This window comes from Homo sapiens, chromosome 15, assembly GCF_000001405.40.
Source record: "Homo sapiens chromosome 15, GRCh38.p14 Primary Assembly".
NCBI classification, from domain to species: Eukaryota; Metazoa; Chordata; class Mammalia; order Primates; family Hominidae; genus Homo; species Homo sapiens.
Genome location: NC_000015.10, coordinates 25,123,417 through 25,145,000, shown reverse-complemented (window position 1 = coordinate 25,145,000; position 21,584 = coordinate 25,123,417). Strand labels below are relative to the sequence as shown.

Genomic DNA, 21,584 nt, shown 5'->3' with positions numbered 1-21,584 from the left:
CAAAAGAAAAAAAAAACTCTCTCTCTGTTTTAGATACCAACAAATCATAACTCAAACCAAATAGACTTTATCCTATTATTATTCTCTCCCCCATCTCTCCCTCTGAACAATTTTTCTTCTCTTTCAGACAGCCAGAAAACCCCAAAGCTCAATGACCTCTTCATGTTAAACTACCCTCACAACAGGGAAACATCTGTGGTTGATTTTAAGCCATCTAACTCTGAGATGAGAGACCCCGTCAAAGGCTCTTCAAAGCACAGGCAGAATAGAGGAAAACTTGCGAGGATTATAAAACATCTTTAGGAAGTTAGAATCCAGGGCTCCCAAATCTATACCAAGGAGTTCATATTTTAGTGATAACCCTAGATGCAAAAAAGTACATGAAAAAGGCAAAATGGGTCAGTCTCAGTGGTGACATAAAAGACCACAGGAAACCAAAGAGTTTCAAATTTTACAGGAAACAAAGAATTTTAGAAAAACTGAAGATATTGGACAAGGTCTTTTGGAGACTACCCCTAAAGTCTTCCCTGTGAAAATAGATTGTTTTATAATCCAGTCCTGCAAGCAAAGAAAGGATGTGTCCATTGGAGAAATTGAAGATAGGCTCTTTAATACCCTTAGGAAGGACTCAGTAGACCTTGAAGCAGATATGAGCCCACACACATCTTTCCCCATTTTGCAGAAAGGAACTGAAGCCAAAAAAACAGGATTTAATATGTAAAAAAAAACTACAATGAGCAATATTATTCCCATTATCAGATCTCTAGCACCTCACTAAACATTTTGAAAGAGTTTCATTAAAAAAAATCAAAGTAGAGATAAAATTACATCCTCCTATCCCAGACATTAAACCCGGAATAAGGAAGTCTCTTGATAAAGACGCCTGTAAGCAGTAAGGAAATTGGAAAACACTTGTTTTGCATTAGCTCAGAATCAAAGGGCAAAACATGAAATAAGTGACAAATCAAGGTGCTTCCGGTGGGTATCAAGCACAAAACATTTCATCTTTCAAGTCAAAAAGAAAACTTTCTCTAAATATTAAATGACAACTCTGCAAATTTTTTTAACTGATATGGGTGCTAAATATCATCAACCTTAAACCTTATCACTATTACACAACCTCTTCATTGAAAATAAACTACTCACATGGTAGGTTTCTGCAATAATTATCAAATATTCCTCACATCCCAGCCCATTACAGCCACCCTTGGACTTTAACTAAATTACACTCTTTCTTTCTCTGTAATACCATATTCACTCACATGATAGGTAGGAAGTTACTACGTGGGTGGAACTGTAAATTAAATGCTATCTGGATGGTCTAGACCTTGAGTCTCTGACTCCCTCACTCATAAAGAAACCATAGATAATCTGGACATTGATTCACGACTACTATTGAATCTAAATCAAGCCAAAATTGAAGATCTCAAGGAAGTGCTTGACATTCTTATGGATAAACCCGGTTAAGACTCAGATTTATCCACCTTAACTGCTACCCAACTTGCACAATCTCTTCTAAAACCAAGAGATTAAAAAGGACTAAAGGACTAAAATAATAGCTAAAAACTTTGTAACAGCCCTTATAATTCTTTTACACTCCATGCTCAAAAACCCAGTGGCAGAGATAGCAGATTTTTTCAGGACTTCAGAACCATAAATAGAATAATCGCTGTTTATCATACCCCACCCAAATACCATCTTATTTCCACTGAGTCCTTGAGGCTGCATATCTTATAGTGGCAGATTTGTGTTCTACTTTTTTGTTATAGTGCCTTTGTATTAAAATACTCTATACTTGTTGGTACACCCTAGGCAAAATCAACAGCATACTTGTACTATATCCCCTGGATTTACTTAGATACCTTCCTACTTTTCACAACGATTTCAAGGACCCTAAATTTCTGTGATTCCACTCTTATCAATAGATAATATGAATGACCAGTGACTGTGTTCTAAAGACAAAGCAAGTTCTAAGACTTATTCTACCTATCTACTTTGTTTTAGCTCAGAAAGGTCATACAATTTCCAAAGAGAAGTTAGAATTTTGTTTAAGTTCGTTACCTATGATGTGATTTATCCCAAGAAGATGAATCCTTTATGCCTGATAGATTATAAGCTATCCAAAACTTTTCAGGCTAGTAGTTAAGAGATCATTAAGAGGATTCCTGGGTTTCCTTGGATGCTTATTGCAGAACATTCCAAAATTTTCCAAAATTTCCCATCTCTCTGACTTACCCACTTTATGAGTAGCCAAAACTGAGCCCTAAGAACCTAATCACAAAGAGATTTTTGTGAGTTAAAATTAGCCTTCCAATGACCTCCCACTTTAGGCCTACCTAATTATCACAGAACTCTCTACCAGTTTGTATATGAGTGCTGGGGATAAGCTCTTGGTGTTCTAAATGCATTTCAGGAGAATCCTCAGGGGCCAGCTCATTGAAGTCTGTATCTTCACCCAGTGGCAATAGCCACAACAGCTAAATTACTGGAAGCCTCTGCTGGCTTGGTTTAGGTTAGGGTCTCCTTTAAGTTTCATAGTCCCTCTTGCTGGATAACCTTTACTGAAAATACACAAAATTGAAAATACATACTTTTCAGCATAGAGGCTTAAATTCCTATGAAATATTACTTCACATCAGCACCTCACATCTTTATTACTTATGGCAATACTTTCAAAATTGCTACTTTTTCCATTACCTTAAGAAGAAGCTGTGTACTGTCTTTGTTTACAAACTATGCCCTAAATAGATGTATTAGTAATCTCTTTTTAAAAATCCATGTTTCATCTTGTTCTTTGATGTGCTGTACTTTAAGACTGGGACAAAAGAATATCAGATGGCACATGATGTGACATACTTCACCCTTATAATCACTACCAGAGGCAAAATCTGCCAGATGACAGGACTCATTTCGCTCTACAGATCTGGTCAGTTTGAGTGAGATAGGAGAGTGCTGGTGGCAGGTATGCTTTGTGTGTAGTTCTTGGTCTTGTTTGTGAACAAACAGAGTTCTCAATCTCAGCAGGAGCCTCTACTAAAAATGGTCAGCAAATAAAAGAACTTTTGAGTATTGTAAAGCTTGCTAAAGATGTGGCTATTAAAAAAACAAACACTAATACAAGATGGGGATACCAGGAGGCCCCAGCATGGAGCCCTCACTAAGATCCTGGTCCTCATAATCAAACCTTCTGACGGGTTCAAACAGGTTCTTATAGAATGTCAACAATTGGTTCCACAGTTGGCAAACCGTTACTAATATAAATCTGCAGGTAAATTGCAAGAGGAAAATCTCTCACACTCTAGGATAGATGCTTAGTAGCGCCAGAGGACCTTAAACGGGATGTTTCAAACATTTAATATGCAATTAACTACCTAAGCAAAGAAAAATTGGCTACTGCACTCAATCAACATTGATGGAGAAATTTCACTAAGATTATTGAGGTTGCATGCGGTGTCTTATTTGTTACCAGTATAATCTTGGTAAAAATGCAAAGATGGGGCATGAACAAGAATCTCAGGGCCCCTTAGAACACTTACAGATTTTGTAAGTACCTTCTGCAATGGGTTTTGAGTATGTATGGTAATTGTTCGCTTATTTGGAGGATAGATTGAGGCCTTGTTTGGAGATTTCCAGCTCTGCCAGAGCAAAATTTGACATGATTTTATGTTCCCAAACTCTCTCTCTAGTACAAGTATAAACTATCTCCATTTTACTGAGATGATAAAGAGCTTTGTACAGCTCTGCCAGTCCACACAGAAACGCTGCTGTCCATATTACTCTAATCTTCAGGAAATATAGAAAGAATAAACAAAAAGTTTAAGCTCAAATTAGCAAAACTATCAAAGACTCTCAAACTCACATGGCCTAATGTTTGCTTTAATGACAATGAGCTCAACTTCTGGGGTTCATCAAATCTTCCCTTTTGAGTTAGCAACAGGCCAACCCACGAGTCTAGGAATATCTCCTCTGCTTCTAGACTCTACATTATTGGAAGTGATCACAGCCAAATATTGCAGGTAACTCAGGCAATTTATCCAGTCTTATTAAGAGGTAAACAAGCAGCTTTTCCTCTACTAAATGACCCTCACATGGTCTAAATTCAGAGGCTTGGTCTCAGGTATCTCCAGGAGAGATACCTGAGAAAGAAAGCCCTCGAACCCTGATGGAAAAGACCCTATCGGATACTGTTAACGACTCATCCAGAAGTAAAATTCCAGGGAGTTGATACTGAGAGTGATGTCTTCCAATCAAAGAGGCATAAACCATCTTAAATCATTACTGGAGACCTCAAGCTGAGAAATCTTGAGACCTGGAGACCTCAGACTGAGAACGTGAGACCTCAATGAGAACTCATTAGAAGTAAGATGGTCTTTGGAAGGAGATGGCCACTACACATGATTTTTAGCCCAAGTAGATGACTGCATGAAATGTAGAGTTTCCACTCAAGACTCATAGAACAATACCATATATTGTCATGTTTTAATCTGCGTCCTTTTGTTATTTTCTTGCCTATCTGGCTTAAAGCTACATTTAATTATGTTGCTTATAAGGCATAGTTACATTTTAATCACTCCTCAGTATGAGTCCAATACCTAGTTATAATTTATGCATGCAGTGGTTAAATCATATAACCAAATTGTCCGTTAGGTTTGCACATATTTTCCTTGGTGAGCCACTCAGTTTCTCGTTTCCAGTTCCTCATAATGAATCATTAATTGGGACTCAACTCGTATATGACAAGATATTAGAAAATAAGGTTCCAAAACAATACTGGAGAACTTTTTGTGGAAGTCAGCTTTTGTAACTGAACTTACAGAGGAATAGAACATGAAAAACAACTAGAGAACAGAGTATCTATTTGGAGGTGGCTTTCACCCATCTTATAAGACACATGACTTTTCTTTCACCTGAGATCTATTAATATCAGTACTATAAAATTTATTGCCGGGTACTAAGCTATTCTTGACGAGTGATACAAAAAAATACAATACTATTTGACAGTCTCATAAGGATATTTTGGCTTTAAATAGATCATTGACTAGATCTGAAAAGACTGGTATTGGATGATGGAGACAAAGGTCTGCTGGCTACTGTCTGCACACTGGACAGAAATTTATTTCAGGGGTGAACTAACGTCTGCCTTCACTGTAGTCCCTGACATCCCCCAGGGTCCATTTTGACCCATTAGTTTCTTCTCTTAGAAAAAGAGGTCTTCAGATAACTTTACTCCAAAAAGAGAAAAACCAGGCCTTGAGGCAAGAACCCAAACTGTAACCACACAGGGAATTCTGGGTTGCTTTCTTCTCTCCTTAAGCCTCTTCAATTCATGCTTTTCGAAAGGGTTGGGAAGCCTGGAGCTGACTCCATGCTATTGTATAGCAAACAGCAGGCAAGTTAGACAATGCCCCATCTTGACTTGGAGGTTCATGAAATTTTTCAGAATATAGTAATTTTATAAGGGAAAAATGTGTTGTTTTTGGGGGAAGAATGTTTAATTTGCATCCCTGCCATCTCTCTGGGATCTCTGATATCCCAGATAAGGACCAGAAAGCAATCAAAGACATAATAAAATTAGGTAATTTGGCTAAAGTCCCATATCTGGTCTTGTGGGCTCATCACAGTGTGGATGGTATAGATTTTCTTGGTAAAAGCTGTATGTTCCTGGCTCCTCACTCAGTAGCTGACAACAAACTCTGACCACAATCCTCTTAGTATATTTCTGTGTTGATACCTTCAAGTGTGGATCTCCAGAATCCACCAGGATAAGCAGCTTAAGTACAGCTGCTTATCCATGGAACCATGAAATGACACAACTTACATTATCTACCCACATGGCTTCCTGTCTTCGCTGGGGACATTATTATCATTTTACCTTCATTGATATAAGTGTAGATGTTCTGAGACTCTTGCCCAGGAAGATAAAAGTTGCAAATATTTTTGTTCATCCTGGGAACTTCCCAAAGACCATCAACTCATCAACAGAAAGCATCAGACCACAGCTTATGCCTCCACACTGTAGAATCCCTCATCTCAAAATCCTAACGTTCAATCTTAAAATGCTGTGTCATGACCCTCACCCAATCCTAATCAAGCTCCCACACTGAAAGACCCATCTAAAATGAAACTTCAAGATCCCAGATATCCTGTTTTGTCCCCCACGCCCCTAATATGCTGCTGAGACACTGCTAAGATGGGCTTCCCCTTAGTGTAGTAAGAATATATTTGGCTTTATCAACAGACACTTCTTGGGAAATATGTTTATTTTTGGGAGCCAGCATATAGTATGTGTAACATAAGCCATGTTTTTTAAACGTATGTTTTCTCAAAGAGTCATAAGTAACATTTATTGAATACATTTAATGTGTTATTGTGCTAAATGAGACTTTTTCCAACAATCTCTCTTAATTTTGGTAATGGCTAGTACATTCCACCTCCTCTCACCACAGAGACAACTAGGAAAACATGGTAAATGGGAATTTGAACCCAGGCAATCTATGCCAACATCAATTTCCTTTAATGAGCATGTACTTGTACATACCAATATATTCCATTTTCATTATTACAGGGACCCATACTACCATCCTCACAGCTACTTCCTCACAGCCTAGAACAGTTCTGTCTCACACTACATGCTCCACATTTTTAGAGTAAATAGATGAACTAAAAACATATTCCATGCTGGTACACAAAATGGTATCCTAGAACATGGTCTTTGAATCCAGAAGTTCAGAGTTAGGATAATATATATGTACTACTTACCAACTATTTGCCTTGGTTTTCTCATTTTTGAAATAGGGGAAATAATATCTGCTTGTAGGTTTTGTGTAAAGATTATATAAAATGATATAAAGCAACAACCACAGAAGCTAGAACACACTTGGTGCTACGAAACAGCATCTAGTATTATTTTTATATTGTTTTCACTCCAGTATTTTTTTCTTCCCTGCATATGATTTCACAAAGTGGCCTATTCTCTTTACCATTTTAACTTGTCCCTGATTATTTAATAACATATTGTTCTGTATTTTTTTAAATTTTGAGGTTTCTGAGTGTTTGGAGACTACACACAGAAGTAGACTGTAACCATTTAATGCCTAACACATCTCAGCAAGGAATAGAGACTAAAGGGGATGAGAAAAAGCAGGTAGAGTGTGTGAGAAACCAAGCTTGTGTTTTTACTGTCGTGAGGATTCCACTCAGAGGCTGTAGAACTAAGCAGCTCTGCCACTAGGTCAATATATGTCATGAGGTACCTTTCATGATCTCTAAATGTTGGAGTTGCTCCTCCATTAAATGGGCCTAAGTCTATGGAAGTGTACCTATATAGATGTATATGAGAATGATGACACAGATACAGTATGAAGTGTGTGGCTGGGACACAGCAAGACCACAATAAAGGGTAACGACGGGACAGGATTATCACATTTACTTCTGTGCCTGTCATTCAGTACAGAACATAAATCAGCCCTGAATGGGAAGGGGTTGTGTCAATTGAAGCACATACAGTATTGCATAATCTTCATTTATGATGTTAAAAAAATAGATCCATTATAACTTCAAAAGTTAAATCTCATGGTTTCAGCTATGAACTTTCTCCAGATACGAGTCTCTCTTTCATGGAGGTCATAACTACAAGAAACTTCCCACAGCAAGTAGGGAACAAATCCCTTTGCCCATTTATTCAGTCATTCACAATTTTGGTGACTTATTCAATAGACGAACATTGCTGTGACATCTTCTCTATGCCAGGTATTGTACCAGAAACAAGAACACCACCCTCTCCTCGCTGCTTTCGTGGAACTCAGCATGGTGTTGACAGCCAGTGTGAGGCTGGCAATGCCTCTTTGCCCTCTGGATCATATTTACCTGCGTCTCTGATACTCACCTCCTCAAAGAGGAGGTATCACCCACCACATACCAAACTCCATGGATGTTCAAGTCCCTTATATAAGATGTAGTGTATTATTTGCATATGATCCACATGCATCCTCCTATATACTTTAATCTCTAGATTACTTATCATATCTAATGCAGTGTCAATGCTATGATAAATAGTTGTCATACTGCATTGTTTAGGGAATAATGATAAGAAAAAAAGTTTGTGCCTGTTCAGTACAGATGCAACCATATTTTTAAAGAATATTTTTGATCCATGATTGGATGAATCCACAAATGTGAAACCCATTGATACGGAGGGTCAACAGTATATACATATACACACACACACACAAATACACATACATACACATATGTGGCTGACTGTATATGTAATCTATATTATTACCCACTCCTTCAATCATTTGATAAACCATTCAAAATGCTAAAAATTGCATTTACTTAGCACATACCATGATCAGAAAATACAGGAAGCTCTGACATCAGGATATGAAAAAGACAATCTCAAAGAGCTCATAGTTTATCAAGGATGAAGAAAACAGTGACAGTAATTAAAATGAAAATAACTGGATGAAATTACAAACCAGTTCCAAACCTGACGACGCAATTTCTTTCTGAAGTCTTATGTGAAAGATAACTTTTCTCATTTTTTTCCCTCAATTTACACCTTTAACCTTGTTAGTGATGAATCTGACATTTCTCCACACCAGGGTAGAGGATCAGTGCAGAGCATGTTGAAGAGCGTTCCCTGTGGTCTTTGCCATGGCTAGTTATGGCTGGCCTCTACACTAGCTATGGCTCCCTCTGCAGGATCTTTAGGAGATGACCCAGAGACAGAAGATACCCAGCACTGCCATTTTTAATTGCAGTTAAATATAACAGGCAGTTGGTACTATTTTCCCTGGGGCCCACCCAGGACACTAGTAACTGCTTCTTCAAGTTGAGTTGCTAATACTGCATTTTTATGCCTGAGGCTCATATTTTAAAAATCTGTACTCTAACTACAATGAGAGAAACAGATGGCCCCAACGTTTTCCTTCAAGTGGTACTATTTTGATATATCAGGATGAAACTTTTTCACTTGTGGTACAGGCTAATAACCTTCTTATATATCAGATAGGTAGTTTCTTTGTCAAATTTGTTCATTTTACAGATATTAAGAGGAGAAAGGCTAATTTAATTTTACACACCCAATTCTACAACAGCCTGAAAATAGCATCAGTAAGGTAGAGGACAGGAAGGTAGGGTGGGTGTGGGGGCTCACACATAACTCAGTGGAAAGAAACAAGAAGAAAAAGAAACAATAATTTATATGCCTAACATTCTTTATGTTCCTCTTCTAGTTCCTCCAAGGAAATCCTACCATATGCCCACATTCCACATGGACCAAGGCAGGCGTTCCACTGGGGAGCTGGCAATTATTTTGAGATTATACCGAAGTAGTGCATGAACATAGCCTTGTGGATATCATGGCCTGAAGTCTTAGAGTCTTCACCAAAAAAGATAATGATGTATATGGGTGTGGGCAGCTATTCATGATGGTGCTGCTACAAAGAATTAAGTACCATTTCCAGCTGTCCTTCTGAAAGCAGAGAATAGCCCACAACTTTGTGGAGGCACCTTTTCTGCCTATAACATGTAAGGAGCCTGAAGGTCAGGTGGTAATGAAACTAGAAAATCTGCAATAGCCATATTCTTCCCAAGCCACAGTAAGATGAGAGAAGCCATTACCAATGCCTCCAGGCATACACTAGTTTCCTGAAAGGAGGGCACATGCCACAGGCCCTTAAAGACAGTCCATTTAGGAGGTTATCACCTCCAGAAGGAAGCCTGAAGCCAAGGGAAAAAAATTTTTTTTTTCTCTAAACCTGAAGTCATAACTTAGGTACATTGATTAGAAATGGTGCCTGATAATATTTCATATCCCAATAAGTTCCCTCAACCAAATTGCCTGGAAGCCTGGTGCTTCAAAGGAATTGTGTATGCAGATTGGAAACCTAAAGCCTAACCAACAAAACAACAGCAATTCTCTGAGGCTCTGATAAAAGCCTAAGTCATAATAGTCCACAAAAAAGGGGCTTTCTACCACTGCTACAGCTTCTAAGACCCCTAGAAAACGGAGCGCTTCCATAAGCAAAGCGGGAGCAGCTGGATAAACCAACAAATGAACTCCTTCCTTGAAGGAGGGCTTGTTGCTGCCCACCAGGCACCAGTGTTTATTTGGGGTACGTGGGATTGTTTGATAGTGTGAGCTGGTGGTATAAATGTTAACTCACATCTATGGGAATAAAGACTTGTGTTAGAGTACCTGGCACCCTAGTGGTGGTGGCAGCACTTACACTTTATGTAAGTGTACTTTACTTTGACACTTTATATAAAGTGTCTGGCCTGGACATGTTTGCAACAAACTCCCTTTCCCTGACTCCCACGGAATATTTCATTCCAGACCATGAAGTCCTAGGGGAGCTGGTAATCATAGTGAGGGAAAAGGACAGGAAAAATTACTTGAGTAAACAGCTAAGAGACTAGTCCTCAGAGAAGCTGTCTGCCTGAAAAAATCACAGCTACAGGCAAAAACAGAGCAGCCAGGGGAAACTCAGGCTATAGCTGCACAGATAAGCCATAGATAAGCAGGCAGGCAAAGTCTGGCATGGAAGCCCTTTATTCTTTGTATGATTAACAAGCTCCCAGCAAAAAGTTTCCTTCCCTTTTCAGATATGTACATGGTGGGCTCCCTGGAAGCCTGCACAGAAAGGAGGGGGCTTACCTAAAACAAACCCTCAGTTACACAAACAAAAATAAGCGGCGCTTTGTGCTTGCCTAGAGACATACCCACAGCTGCATAAGATAAGGGGAGTTGTACAGACAGCTTTGCTGATAAGAGAAGTTACTCAAAGTGCTACAGAGATGAGAGGAGTTTCTTAAAAAAGCTTTTGAATGACTGTAAAAACGGCAATCCACTTGGACTCCCCTCTCTGCTGCAGAGAGCTTTCTTCTTTCGCTTACTAAACTTTTGCTCCAACCAACCTCACCCTGTGTCCATACTCCTTAATTTTCTTGGTTGTGAGACCATGAGCTCAGATAACACCTTGGACAATGAGACCAGTGACCCTGACCTTTTCATTAGGGTACATTGCCTCCATTGGGGATATGACCAGACCTATCCTGAGTTATTCCCAGGTCAGTGAATGTCTTAGTGACTCAAGCCTTGTCCATCTCTTCACCCACCAACTTTTACATGGACAAGGAGGAGGGAAGGAGGACACATCCTACCAAGATTGCAAGGCAGGTAATAATTGCATCTAGGGCTTCAAATGATCCCTTTGCAAATTCACATAAAGAAAAAGTGACTGAAGATTTAAGCCAAACCAAGAAATGGAGAACTAAGAGATAAGGGAGCAAACGGTCATATGTGTCTTTAAATTCTGGACTACTGGACTCCATTAAGCCTGACGCCAGACCCAACATGGTTATTTATCTCCTTTTTTTTCTCCTTTAAGCTACTTTGTGTTGTATATAATTGAGAGAGGTGACTGATCAGGACAATTTATAGAGAAAAGCAAAGAAGGGCTAATAATACCAAAATTAAGGAAATATATTATTTCAGGGGTGCTTCTGGAATAATTCTTCTTGAGAACACAATACTGCCAATGGAAAAAAGAGATAAAGAACAGTGTGAACATGGTACAATGAAACGAGGTGACAACAAAATTCTCTTTGACATGTTATTGTTGACCATACGGTACTTATGGATGGAAACAGAATATAGTCATGAAATGAATGCAATAATTTGACTGTAATTTGTATATATTTTAAAATTTAATTGTGCAAATGCAATATGTGATTATGGTTTAAAACTTCAGATTATGCCAACAAAGTGAAGGTAGGGTATGAATAGCCTCAAGGTATAATGGTTAATCACACAGTTCTGAAGCAAGGTATACCTGGGTGCAAATATTGCCTTAATCAGATATTATAATGACAACTATTATTGCTGCTGTTCTCAACATCTAATCACTGTAGCCTTATGTTCCAAACCTTTCCAAACTGGTTTTTCTATATAAACTTTTCTTAATACTCAAAAGAGCAATTTGAGGGAGGTATTATCAGTATCATCATATGAGCACATATATAAAATGTTACATATATGTTATATATCAAATTAATACCATTACAACACATTTAGCATGGGGTAATTAGCAGCTTTTTTTTTTTTTTTTTTTTTGAGGCAGAGTCTCACTGCGACACCCAGGCTGGAGTGCAATGGTGTAATCTTGACTCACGGCAACCTCTGCTTCCTGGGTTCAAGCGACTCTCCCATCTCAGCCTCCCGAGTAGCTGGGACTACAGGCGTGCACCACCATGCCTGGCTAATTTTTATATTTTTAGTAGAGACAGGGTTTCACCATATTGGCCAGGCTGGTCTCGAACTCGAACTCCTGACCTCAAGTGATCCACCCCCCTCGGCCTCCCAAAGAGCTGGGATTACAGGCGTGAGCCAACAAGCCCAGCCAAAACATTTTTTAATTACTAGGTTTACAAATATTTCAGCACAAAATCTTCCTACCACTTTTCAGTATGCACTCAATAAATAAAAACATTTATTATCATAATGGTTACTTATTACATGAATCAGAATTTTGTAGATCTGTTATTTTCTTCTTTCAAACAGGATGCCTCTATTAAGTTGATCAAATAAAAAATGTTGATTTCATCATATAAGATATGTAAGTAACCTAAACTTACCAAAACACCCAGCAATATCTCTTCTAAATGATTGGTAAATATCATAGCATCAATCTTCACAAAGCAAACATTGCACAAAATGTTAAGATTTAAAGAAAACTACAAAGAGACTTTAAAATACTTTACCTATCATTTGATCAATTAAAGCAATGAAAAACAAGTGTACCGTTAAAGTAATTTATAATATGACTGTGTTTAGGTCTACCATTTTGCCATCTGTTTTCTATACAGTTTACTTTGTTCTTTTCTTCATTCTTTCCTGTATTCTTTTAATCAAGTATTTTTACTATTACATTTTAATTCTGCTGTTGCTTTTTTAGCTATATTTCTCTGTACTTTTTAGTGATTATTCTATGGTTATAATATACATCTTTAAATTATCACAGTCCTTTTAGAGTTAATACAGTTCCACCTAATGTTGCAGTGAGCTGAGATCATGCCCCCGCACTCCAGTCTGGGTGACAGATTGAGACTCCCTCATATATATATATATATATATATATATATATATATATATATATATATATATATATAAAATTTTACTTCATGAGAAGTGTACAATACTAACTCTAAGCAGATTGTCATAAATTAAGGGTACATTTTATAACCCATACAAAATACCCAGAGGTGGAGCCGAAATGTAAACAGAGAAGTTAATGTAGGATACTAAAAATATTCAATTAACCCAAAAGAACGAAGCAAAGCAGGCAGAGAGGAACAAACTAGAGGGGACAAATGGAAAAACAATAGCTAAATAGTAGGCATAAGTCTAGTCACGTTAGTATGTTTAATGCAAAGGGACTTAAGACCCCAAAGACTTAAAAGTCACTGATGGTTAAATTGGACAAAAAAGATCCATCTCTATGCTCTCTATAATGGAAGCACTATGAAGACAGATTTAAAGAACAGAAAAAGATACACCAGACATACTGCAAACCCAAGAAAACTGGTAATATTATTCAGATATCAGACGAAGCAGACATCAAGACCAGAAATATTACATAAGGTAAGACAGGCCAAATTAGGAAAAGATAAAATTTATTACAGTCATGATGTTCATAAAAGTATAAACAATAAGATATTTCCAAATACACGAAGAACTGAGAGAACTAAAGATAAAGAAAATCATAATCACAGCAGAAATTTTTTACACTATTCTCTTTGTAACTTATAAAACAATTGTAAAAATTCACTGACAATCTAGAAAATCTAGACACTATCTATCTGAACAAAATCTGCACACCTTGAGTTTAAATATATATTCCTGTGCATGTGAAACTTTTGTCAAGACAGATCATATGCTAGACCATAAGTCTCAATAAATTTGGAAAGCTGAAATATCAGAGTAACTTTTTAGAACCAAAACAAAACTAAAACAGAAGTTGTAACAAACTACACAGAAAAGCCCCAAATATTTGGAAATTAAATACTCCACTTAAAAATAACAGATCAAATTAAAACACAAAGGAAGAAAATAATTGAATTAAATGGTAATTAAAACAATATATCAAAGTTTGTGGAATCTATCAATGTAGTGCTTATAGCCTTCAATGGTTATATTAGAAAATAAGTAAGGTACATAATAGAAGACTTAATAGTCTCAAGATTAAGAAGCTACCAAAAAAAAGAGCATATTAAAACCAAGGTAAGATGAAGGAAAGAAATCAATAATATAAAAAACAGATAAAGAGAAAATTAGCAAATCAAAGATTGATTCTTTTAAATGACAAGATAGTTAAAAAAAAAAAAAAAAAAAAAGACCAACCTGAGAAAAAATAATATTACCTATATCAGAATTGGAAAGGTGAGATCTTACAGACAGTATAAGGGTAATAAGGAACTATCATGAGCAACTTTATACTACTGAATTTGACAAATCTGATAAAATGGACTATACTCTTTGAAAAACAGTACTAAAGCTGCCATTAAATGAAACAGAAACTCTCAATCCTGTATTATTAAATAAACTGAAATTGTTCATTAAAATATCACGAAGGAAACTCCAGGCCCAGATCATTTCACTAATGAATTCTATCAAACATTCCACAAAGAAATTTGACCTTTGAACAGCACAAGTTTGAACTGCATATGATCTATTTATATGCAGACTTTTTTCAATAAATACATTGGATACATTTTTGGAAATTTGTGACAATTTGAAAAAACTCAACTGCGTAGTCCAGAAATACCAAAAAAATTAAGAAAAAGGTATGTCATGAATGCATAAAATAGATGTAGATACTAGCCTATTTTTATCATTTATTACCATAAAATATACACAAATTATAAAAAGTTAAAATTTATCAAAACCTACTCACACATACTCACAGATCCTACATGGTGCCATTTGCAGTTGAGAGAAATGTAAATATGTGGTATTAAATCCTAACTGCATAAAATTAGCTGTAGTACACCCAGCATTATTGTAATAATTTTGTAGCCACCTCCTTTTGCTACAGTGGGGAGCTCAATTGCATCTGCTTAAAGTGCCAGGTGACCCGAAATCATGCCAGGAAACAGTTTCTCCCTCCAGTAAATTGCATGTGGCAGCAAAACAAAAGCTTTCACAGTTCTCATATTACTTTTCATAGTGTCTTGTGTAATACCATAAACCTTAACACCATGGGACCCATATGAAGTGCCACTGGTGATACTGGAAGTACTCCTAAGAAGCAGAGGAAAGTCATGACATTACAAGAAAACGTTTAATTGCTTAAAAGGTACCACAGATTGAGGTCTCCAGCAGGGGCTACTTGCCATTTCAAGATAAGTAAATCCAGTGTGAGGACAATTGTTAAAAAAAAAAAAAAAAAAAAGGAAATTCATGAAGCCATTGTTGCAGCTGTACCAACACTGTGAAAACCTTGCACTTTTGCAAAGTATCTATCTATTGAAAATGCATCTTTTCTGCGGGTACAGGATTGCTGTAAGGCATACCTCTAGGGTGCAAGATGATCCTAAGCAAAAGGAAGGTGAAGGTTCTAAATCTGGAGAATTTAATGCCAGCAAAGGATGGTTTGATAATTTTAGAAAGAAGTCTGGCTTAAAAACAGTCAAGCAGGAGAAGCAGTTCCCAGATGCCATTAAGAAAATCATTGAGGAGAAAGGATATCTGCCTGAACAGGTTTTTAAACTGACGAAAGTGCCCTACTCTGAAAAAAAAAAAATGCCAGAAAGGACATTTATTAGTAAGGAAGAGAAGTGAGCACCAGGATTTAAGGCAGGAAGGGATGGGCTAATTCTACTGTTTTGTGCAAATGTAATTGGGTTTATGATCAGGACTGACCTTATCTATAAAGCAGCTAACTCCTGAGCCTCGAAGGGAAAAGTTAAAACACCAGCTGCCGGTCTTTTGATTGTAAAACAAAAAGGCCTGGACAATAAGAAGTCTTTTTTTCTGTATTGGTTTCATTGATGTTTTGACCCTGATGTCAAGAAGTACCTTGCAGTAAGTGAGTGCCTTTTAAAGTTTTTTTTTTTGATTGGACAATGTCCCTGACCCCATGAGTTCAATACTGAAGGTGTCAAAGTGGTCTATTTGCCCCCAGACATAACATCTCTAAATCATCCTCTAGATCAGGGAGTCATAAGGACCATTAAGGCTCATTACACACAGTACTTTATGGAAAGGATTATCTAACACTATGCAAGAGAACCCTGATAGAACATCATGAAAGTCTGGAAGGATCACAGCACTGAAGATGCCATCGTTACACAAAAAGCTGTGAAAGCATCAAGCCCAACACAACACACTCCCCTGCTGGAGGAAACTGTGTCCAGATGTTGTGCATGACTTGACAGGATTTACAATACAGCCAACCAAGGAAATCACGAAAGAGATCGTGAACACGGAAAAAAGGGTGGTGAGTGAAGGCTTTCAAGATATACACCTTGGAGAAATTCAAGAGCTAATAGATAACACACTAGAGGAATTAACAGAAGATGACGTGATGGAGACAAGTGCTTCTGAACCAGTACCAGACGATAAGGAAGACGACACAGAAGGAGTGCCAGAAAAACACGCTGGCAGAAGGTTTCTAATTATTTAAGTCTGCATTTGACTTCTTTACAATATGGCTCCTTCTATGATGTGGGTACTACAAATAAGTAAACAGTGGAAGAAGGACTGTACCATATAGAAACATTTTTAGAGAAATGAAAAATCAAAAAAGCTAGAAACTATATTTCCATACAGTTACACCAAGTGTACTGCTTCTGCCACCCCGATACAGTAAGAACAACCCCTCCTCTTCTTCCTCCTCCTCAGCCTATTCAACATAAAAATGAGAATGAAGACCTTTATGATCATCTACTTTCACGTAACGAATAGTAAATATATTTTCTCTTCCTTATGTCTCGTAATAACATTTTATCTCTCATTCACTTTATTGTTAATAAAATAGTATGTAATACATATAACATAAAATATGTGTTAATTGACTAGTTATGTTATCTGTAAGGCTTTCAGTCAACAGTAGGCTATTCGTAGTTAAGTTTCTGGAGAGCAAACAATTGTCCACAGATTGTCAACTATGGGGGAGTCTGAACCCCTAATCTCCATGTCTGTTGTTCAAGGGTCAAGTGTACTAGCAAATAGAGCACTATACTAAATACATTTTATGAAGCCTAATGCCAACATCTGACAAAAATAATTTTTAAAAAGGAAACCACAGGATAATGGCCATCACGGACATAGGTGAATAACTCTTAAATAACTAGCAGAAAAATTGAATACAGTAATATATATACAAGAAGGATAACAGTGACCAATTGGATTACATCAAGAATGCAATGTTGGGCTAACATTCAAAAGCTGACCAATGCAGTCTCCCATAATAAGAGAATAAGGGGGAAAACATGATTATATTAATAAATGTAGAAAAACATTCAGCAAATTTATCACATTATTATTATAAAAATTAACAGCAAACTGGCACTAGAATAAAACTTGCTCAATTTGGTAATGGGCATCTACAAAAAAATAACAGCTAGTATCTTTCTTAATGGTAAGAAATTACATATTTTCTCCTAAGACTGAAAAGAAGACAACCCAACTGAAAAGCAGTTGCAATGTGAAAATATTACTGTTTTCATATAATAGTAACAAATCTGGAAAACGAAATTTAAACATATTCATTTACAATAGCATCAAAACAACAAAACAAATAAATTTAACAATTTAATCTAGTTTATTAAATGTTAAATTTTAATAATGTTTCTATATTGAAAACTACAAGGTATGCTTCTATACTAAACACCATAAAAGACATCTATGAGAAATTATAGACGACCTAATAAATGGAGAACTACAGACTCAACATTGTTAAGATGTCAATCCCCCCTAAATTTATCTATAGTTTTGATGTAATCAAAATCAATTTCTCGGTTGGGCTTTTTAGGAAATTGACAAGATAATTTTAAAATTTAAGTGAACATACAAAGGACCCAGTGTAGCCATCTCCTTCCTCTATAAAGCCTTGAAATAACAAAATTTTGGACTCACACTACTTAATCTCAAGATTTACTATTAAACTTCAGTGAAAAAGAATGGCATAAAGAAGGAAAAACAGAGAGTTCAAAAAAGATCCATACGTAAATGGCCAACTTATTTTCAACAATGGCATTAGATAATTCAGTAGAAAAAGAAAAATCTTTTGATCAAATGGTTCTGCAACAACTGGAGATTGATGAAAACAAGTAACTTCAACTACATTTGAAAATGATTTGAGATAGATGTTATACTTATGTCCCAAAGCTTCTAGAAGAAAACTTAGAAAACTATTATTTGCAAACCTGGAGTAAGCAAAGATTTAATAGTAAGTAATAAGCACTAAAAATAAGAGACTCAAACTGATATACTGGACTTAAAAATTTTCAATGTCTGTTTATCGAAAGACACAAGAAGCCTGGGCAACACTGCAAGACTCTGTGTCTAAAAAATTTTTTTTATAAATTAGCCTGGTGTGGTGACATATGCCTGTAGTCCTAGCTGCTCGGGAGGCTAAGGTGGAAGTATTGCATAAGCCCAGGAATTTGAGGCTGCAGTGAGCTATGATTGTGCCATTGCACTCCAGCCTGGGTGCAAAGTGAGACTTTGTCTCAAAAAAACTCCAAAAAACAAAAATGAAAAGATGGGGAAAGAGAGTTGGGACTGACTGCTTAATGGGTATGGGTTGTCTTTGGGGTGCTGAAAATGTTTTGGAACTAGTTAAGGATGGCAGTTGCAAAACATTTTGAATGCACTAAATGGCTACGTTATGTTAATTTCACGTAAATTAAAGGAAAAGAGATGGGGGAGAAAAGGAGAGGAAGAATAAATAGCAATAAGGGATGAGCCACTGGCAAATTCGGGCCATTTTAAAATTTAGAGCATAACAGCATTAAAAGGAGAAGAAAGAAAAGAAAAAGAAAGGAAATGGAAAGGAAGGCAGGCAGGCTAAGATACTTAATGAAAGAAACCTTTGCAACACATATATTGAACAAGAAATGTATGTCCCAGTAATACAAAGAACACTTCCAAACGAAGAGCAAATAAACAATCCAATGTAAAACTATTTGTAGTGTGATACTTTACACATATTGCAAACAATTCTCATAGAGCAGAGGGGTTGAATAAATTGTGGTGCATCCATGGAGTTAAGCACTAAGCATGACAGAATGAGGAATATCTCTTTGAATACACATGAAGTGATTTCCAGGACATATTAAGCGGAAAAAGAAAACTGCAACAAAAAAAAATCTATAGTATGCCACTAATCATGTAAGAAGGAAGGGGATATAAAATATACATGTGATATATGATAAAATATACATGTATCTGCCCACTTGTGAACAAGAATAACAAGAGAAAAAAATAAACCAGAAACTATTAGACTAGTTAACTCTAAGGGTTGGGTGAGATTAGGGTGGAAAGAAGGGAGGAATAGAATCAGTGTAGCAGGGATGATGGGAGAGTGGTATTTCTCACAGTCCTAATTTTTAGAAACATAGTAATATTTCACATATACAAAATATAGTTAAAATAATCCAAAAGGTGAGGGAACTCAAAATGGAATATAAACAATAAAAAAACCTGCTTGATTATATGATTAATGTAACCATATGGCAGGGGATAGGAAAAAAAAGATAACTAACCTAAATACGTTTAGAAATAATAGTATGTTGACTGAACGCTGTTAAGGATAAAGACAAAAGAACTATATTTAAATACTGTGCTGTAGTTAGTGATTTCATTTTTAAAGGGGTATAATTTAGCAATTCTGAAATTATTTAAGTGTATACTGCACTGAAGAAATAACAAAACATATTGTAGATAATGAAAGGTAGGTTTCTCACTGTTGAAGAAGCAAATCACAAATAAGCCAAGAGGGAAGAATAAAATGAACCATATGATGATGGATTATGATCCACAACAGTATGAACTTGTGATTTTTAATAAAGATAGATATATACTATCTATAGTATTCTACATACTATTAGTATATATATTTAAGATAGATAAATGAATAGAGACAATATAGGGGTGTGTGTGTATGTGTATGTGTGTAAACGGACACACAGCTCCCAGCTCTAGGCCTAGAAGCAATAAAACCCCATTAGCAATTAATACACTTAATACCAAGATCTTGGTTTCTAAATACTATTTTCCAATATGAAGAACTAGAACCCCTTGAGGAAATGGTTGATTACAGGCGTGGGGAAGGAAAATACAAGATAAACCTAGAATATCTTGTGATACCCGAAAATAAGAAGTGGTCAAAAAATTATGAGGTTGTATTAAAAGAACACAGGGGCCAACTTTAAGGAGCTCCCAATGATCAAATCCAGAAAAAAAATTGAAAATCAAACACAAACAATGATTGCAATATATAACAATCCATAAAATAAGATATCCACAAATCCATACTGATGTAAAATAACAACTGAGTACAAATAAATGGGGAAGAAGGACAGATCTTCCTTACAGTCAAATTCTAGTAAGTAGAGAAAGTATCATGGAAATAGAAACCATTACTAGGTAAACACCATAATCATAATTGCTGCAGGCAAGAATCTTCAATTAATACTGAAATTAGATGAAATAAAATATTTGCATAGTCTCAAATTATTTTCTCATAAAATATTAATTACAAAGAAAGGAAAACAGTAACTTTGCAGTGGATAAACCTGGCAGACACTACCTTAATAAAGGCGTCATATTTAGTATCAGCAGAAATAAGACATTAACTTCATGTACTCCAGATGATCCACTGAAAAGGGCACACTGTTACTACTGTGTTATCTTTTGTCAAAAGTGCATAACCTTAATCTAATAATAAAAATATCGGACAAATCCAAATTGAGGACTAGTGTACCAAATTATGGTCTAGTATTTCTCAAATGTGTCAATTAAATGAAATACAAAGAAAGACTGAGGGAGCTCTCCCAGATTTGTAGTCAGGAGAGAGGGCAAAGGAAACATGCCAGATAAAATAAGAGATCTTGAATTGGATCCTGGACTAGATAAAAAGGACATTAGTAGCATAACTTGAAAAACCTGAATATAGTCTGCAGATTGGTTGACAGTATTATATTAATTTCCTGATTTCAATTATCATTGTATGTAATAATGTTATAATAATGATTATATAAAATGCTAACATCCAGAAAGCTGGGTACAGAATACACAGGAACTCTACTATTTTTGCAAATTTCCCGTAAGTCCAAAATTACTTCAAAATTGTAATTTAAAAGTTGGGAAAAATATACAAATTTTACTAAAGAAGATTTACAATTGGATAACTTCATGAAAAACTGGTTGCCTTCTTAAGTGGTCAAATTTCAAATTGAAGTCACAACAAAATATCACCTCACACCCACTTAATAGATAAGACTGACAATTTCCAATGTTGGCAAAAATGGACAGCAACTAAAAATCTCATATCACTGGTTGGGAGTGCGAA

At 36.2% G+C, this 21,584-nt stretch overlaps 2 long non-coding RNA genes across 2 annotated transcripts in view; both read right to left on the bottom strand.

The window, feature by feature from the left end:
* The window catches only part of SNHG14 (small nucleolar RNA host gene 14), a 595,855-nt gene that overhangs the window by 274,462 nt on the left and 299,809 nt on the right, over positions 1-21,584 (bottom strand). The gene's annotated exons all lie outside the window — the stretch shown is intronic.
* On the bottom strand, positions 6,948-9,359 carry PWAR1 (Prader Willi/Angelman region RNA 1). The gene has a single exon (NR_022009.1). It is a non-coding gene; the product is annotated as a Prader Willi/Angelman region RNA 1 (long non-coding RNA).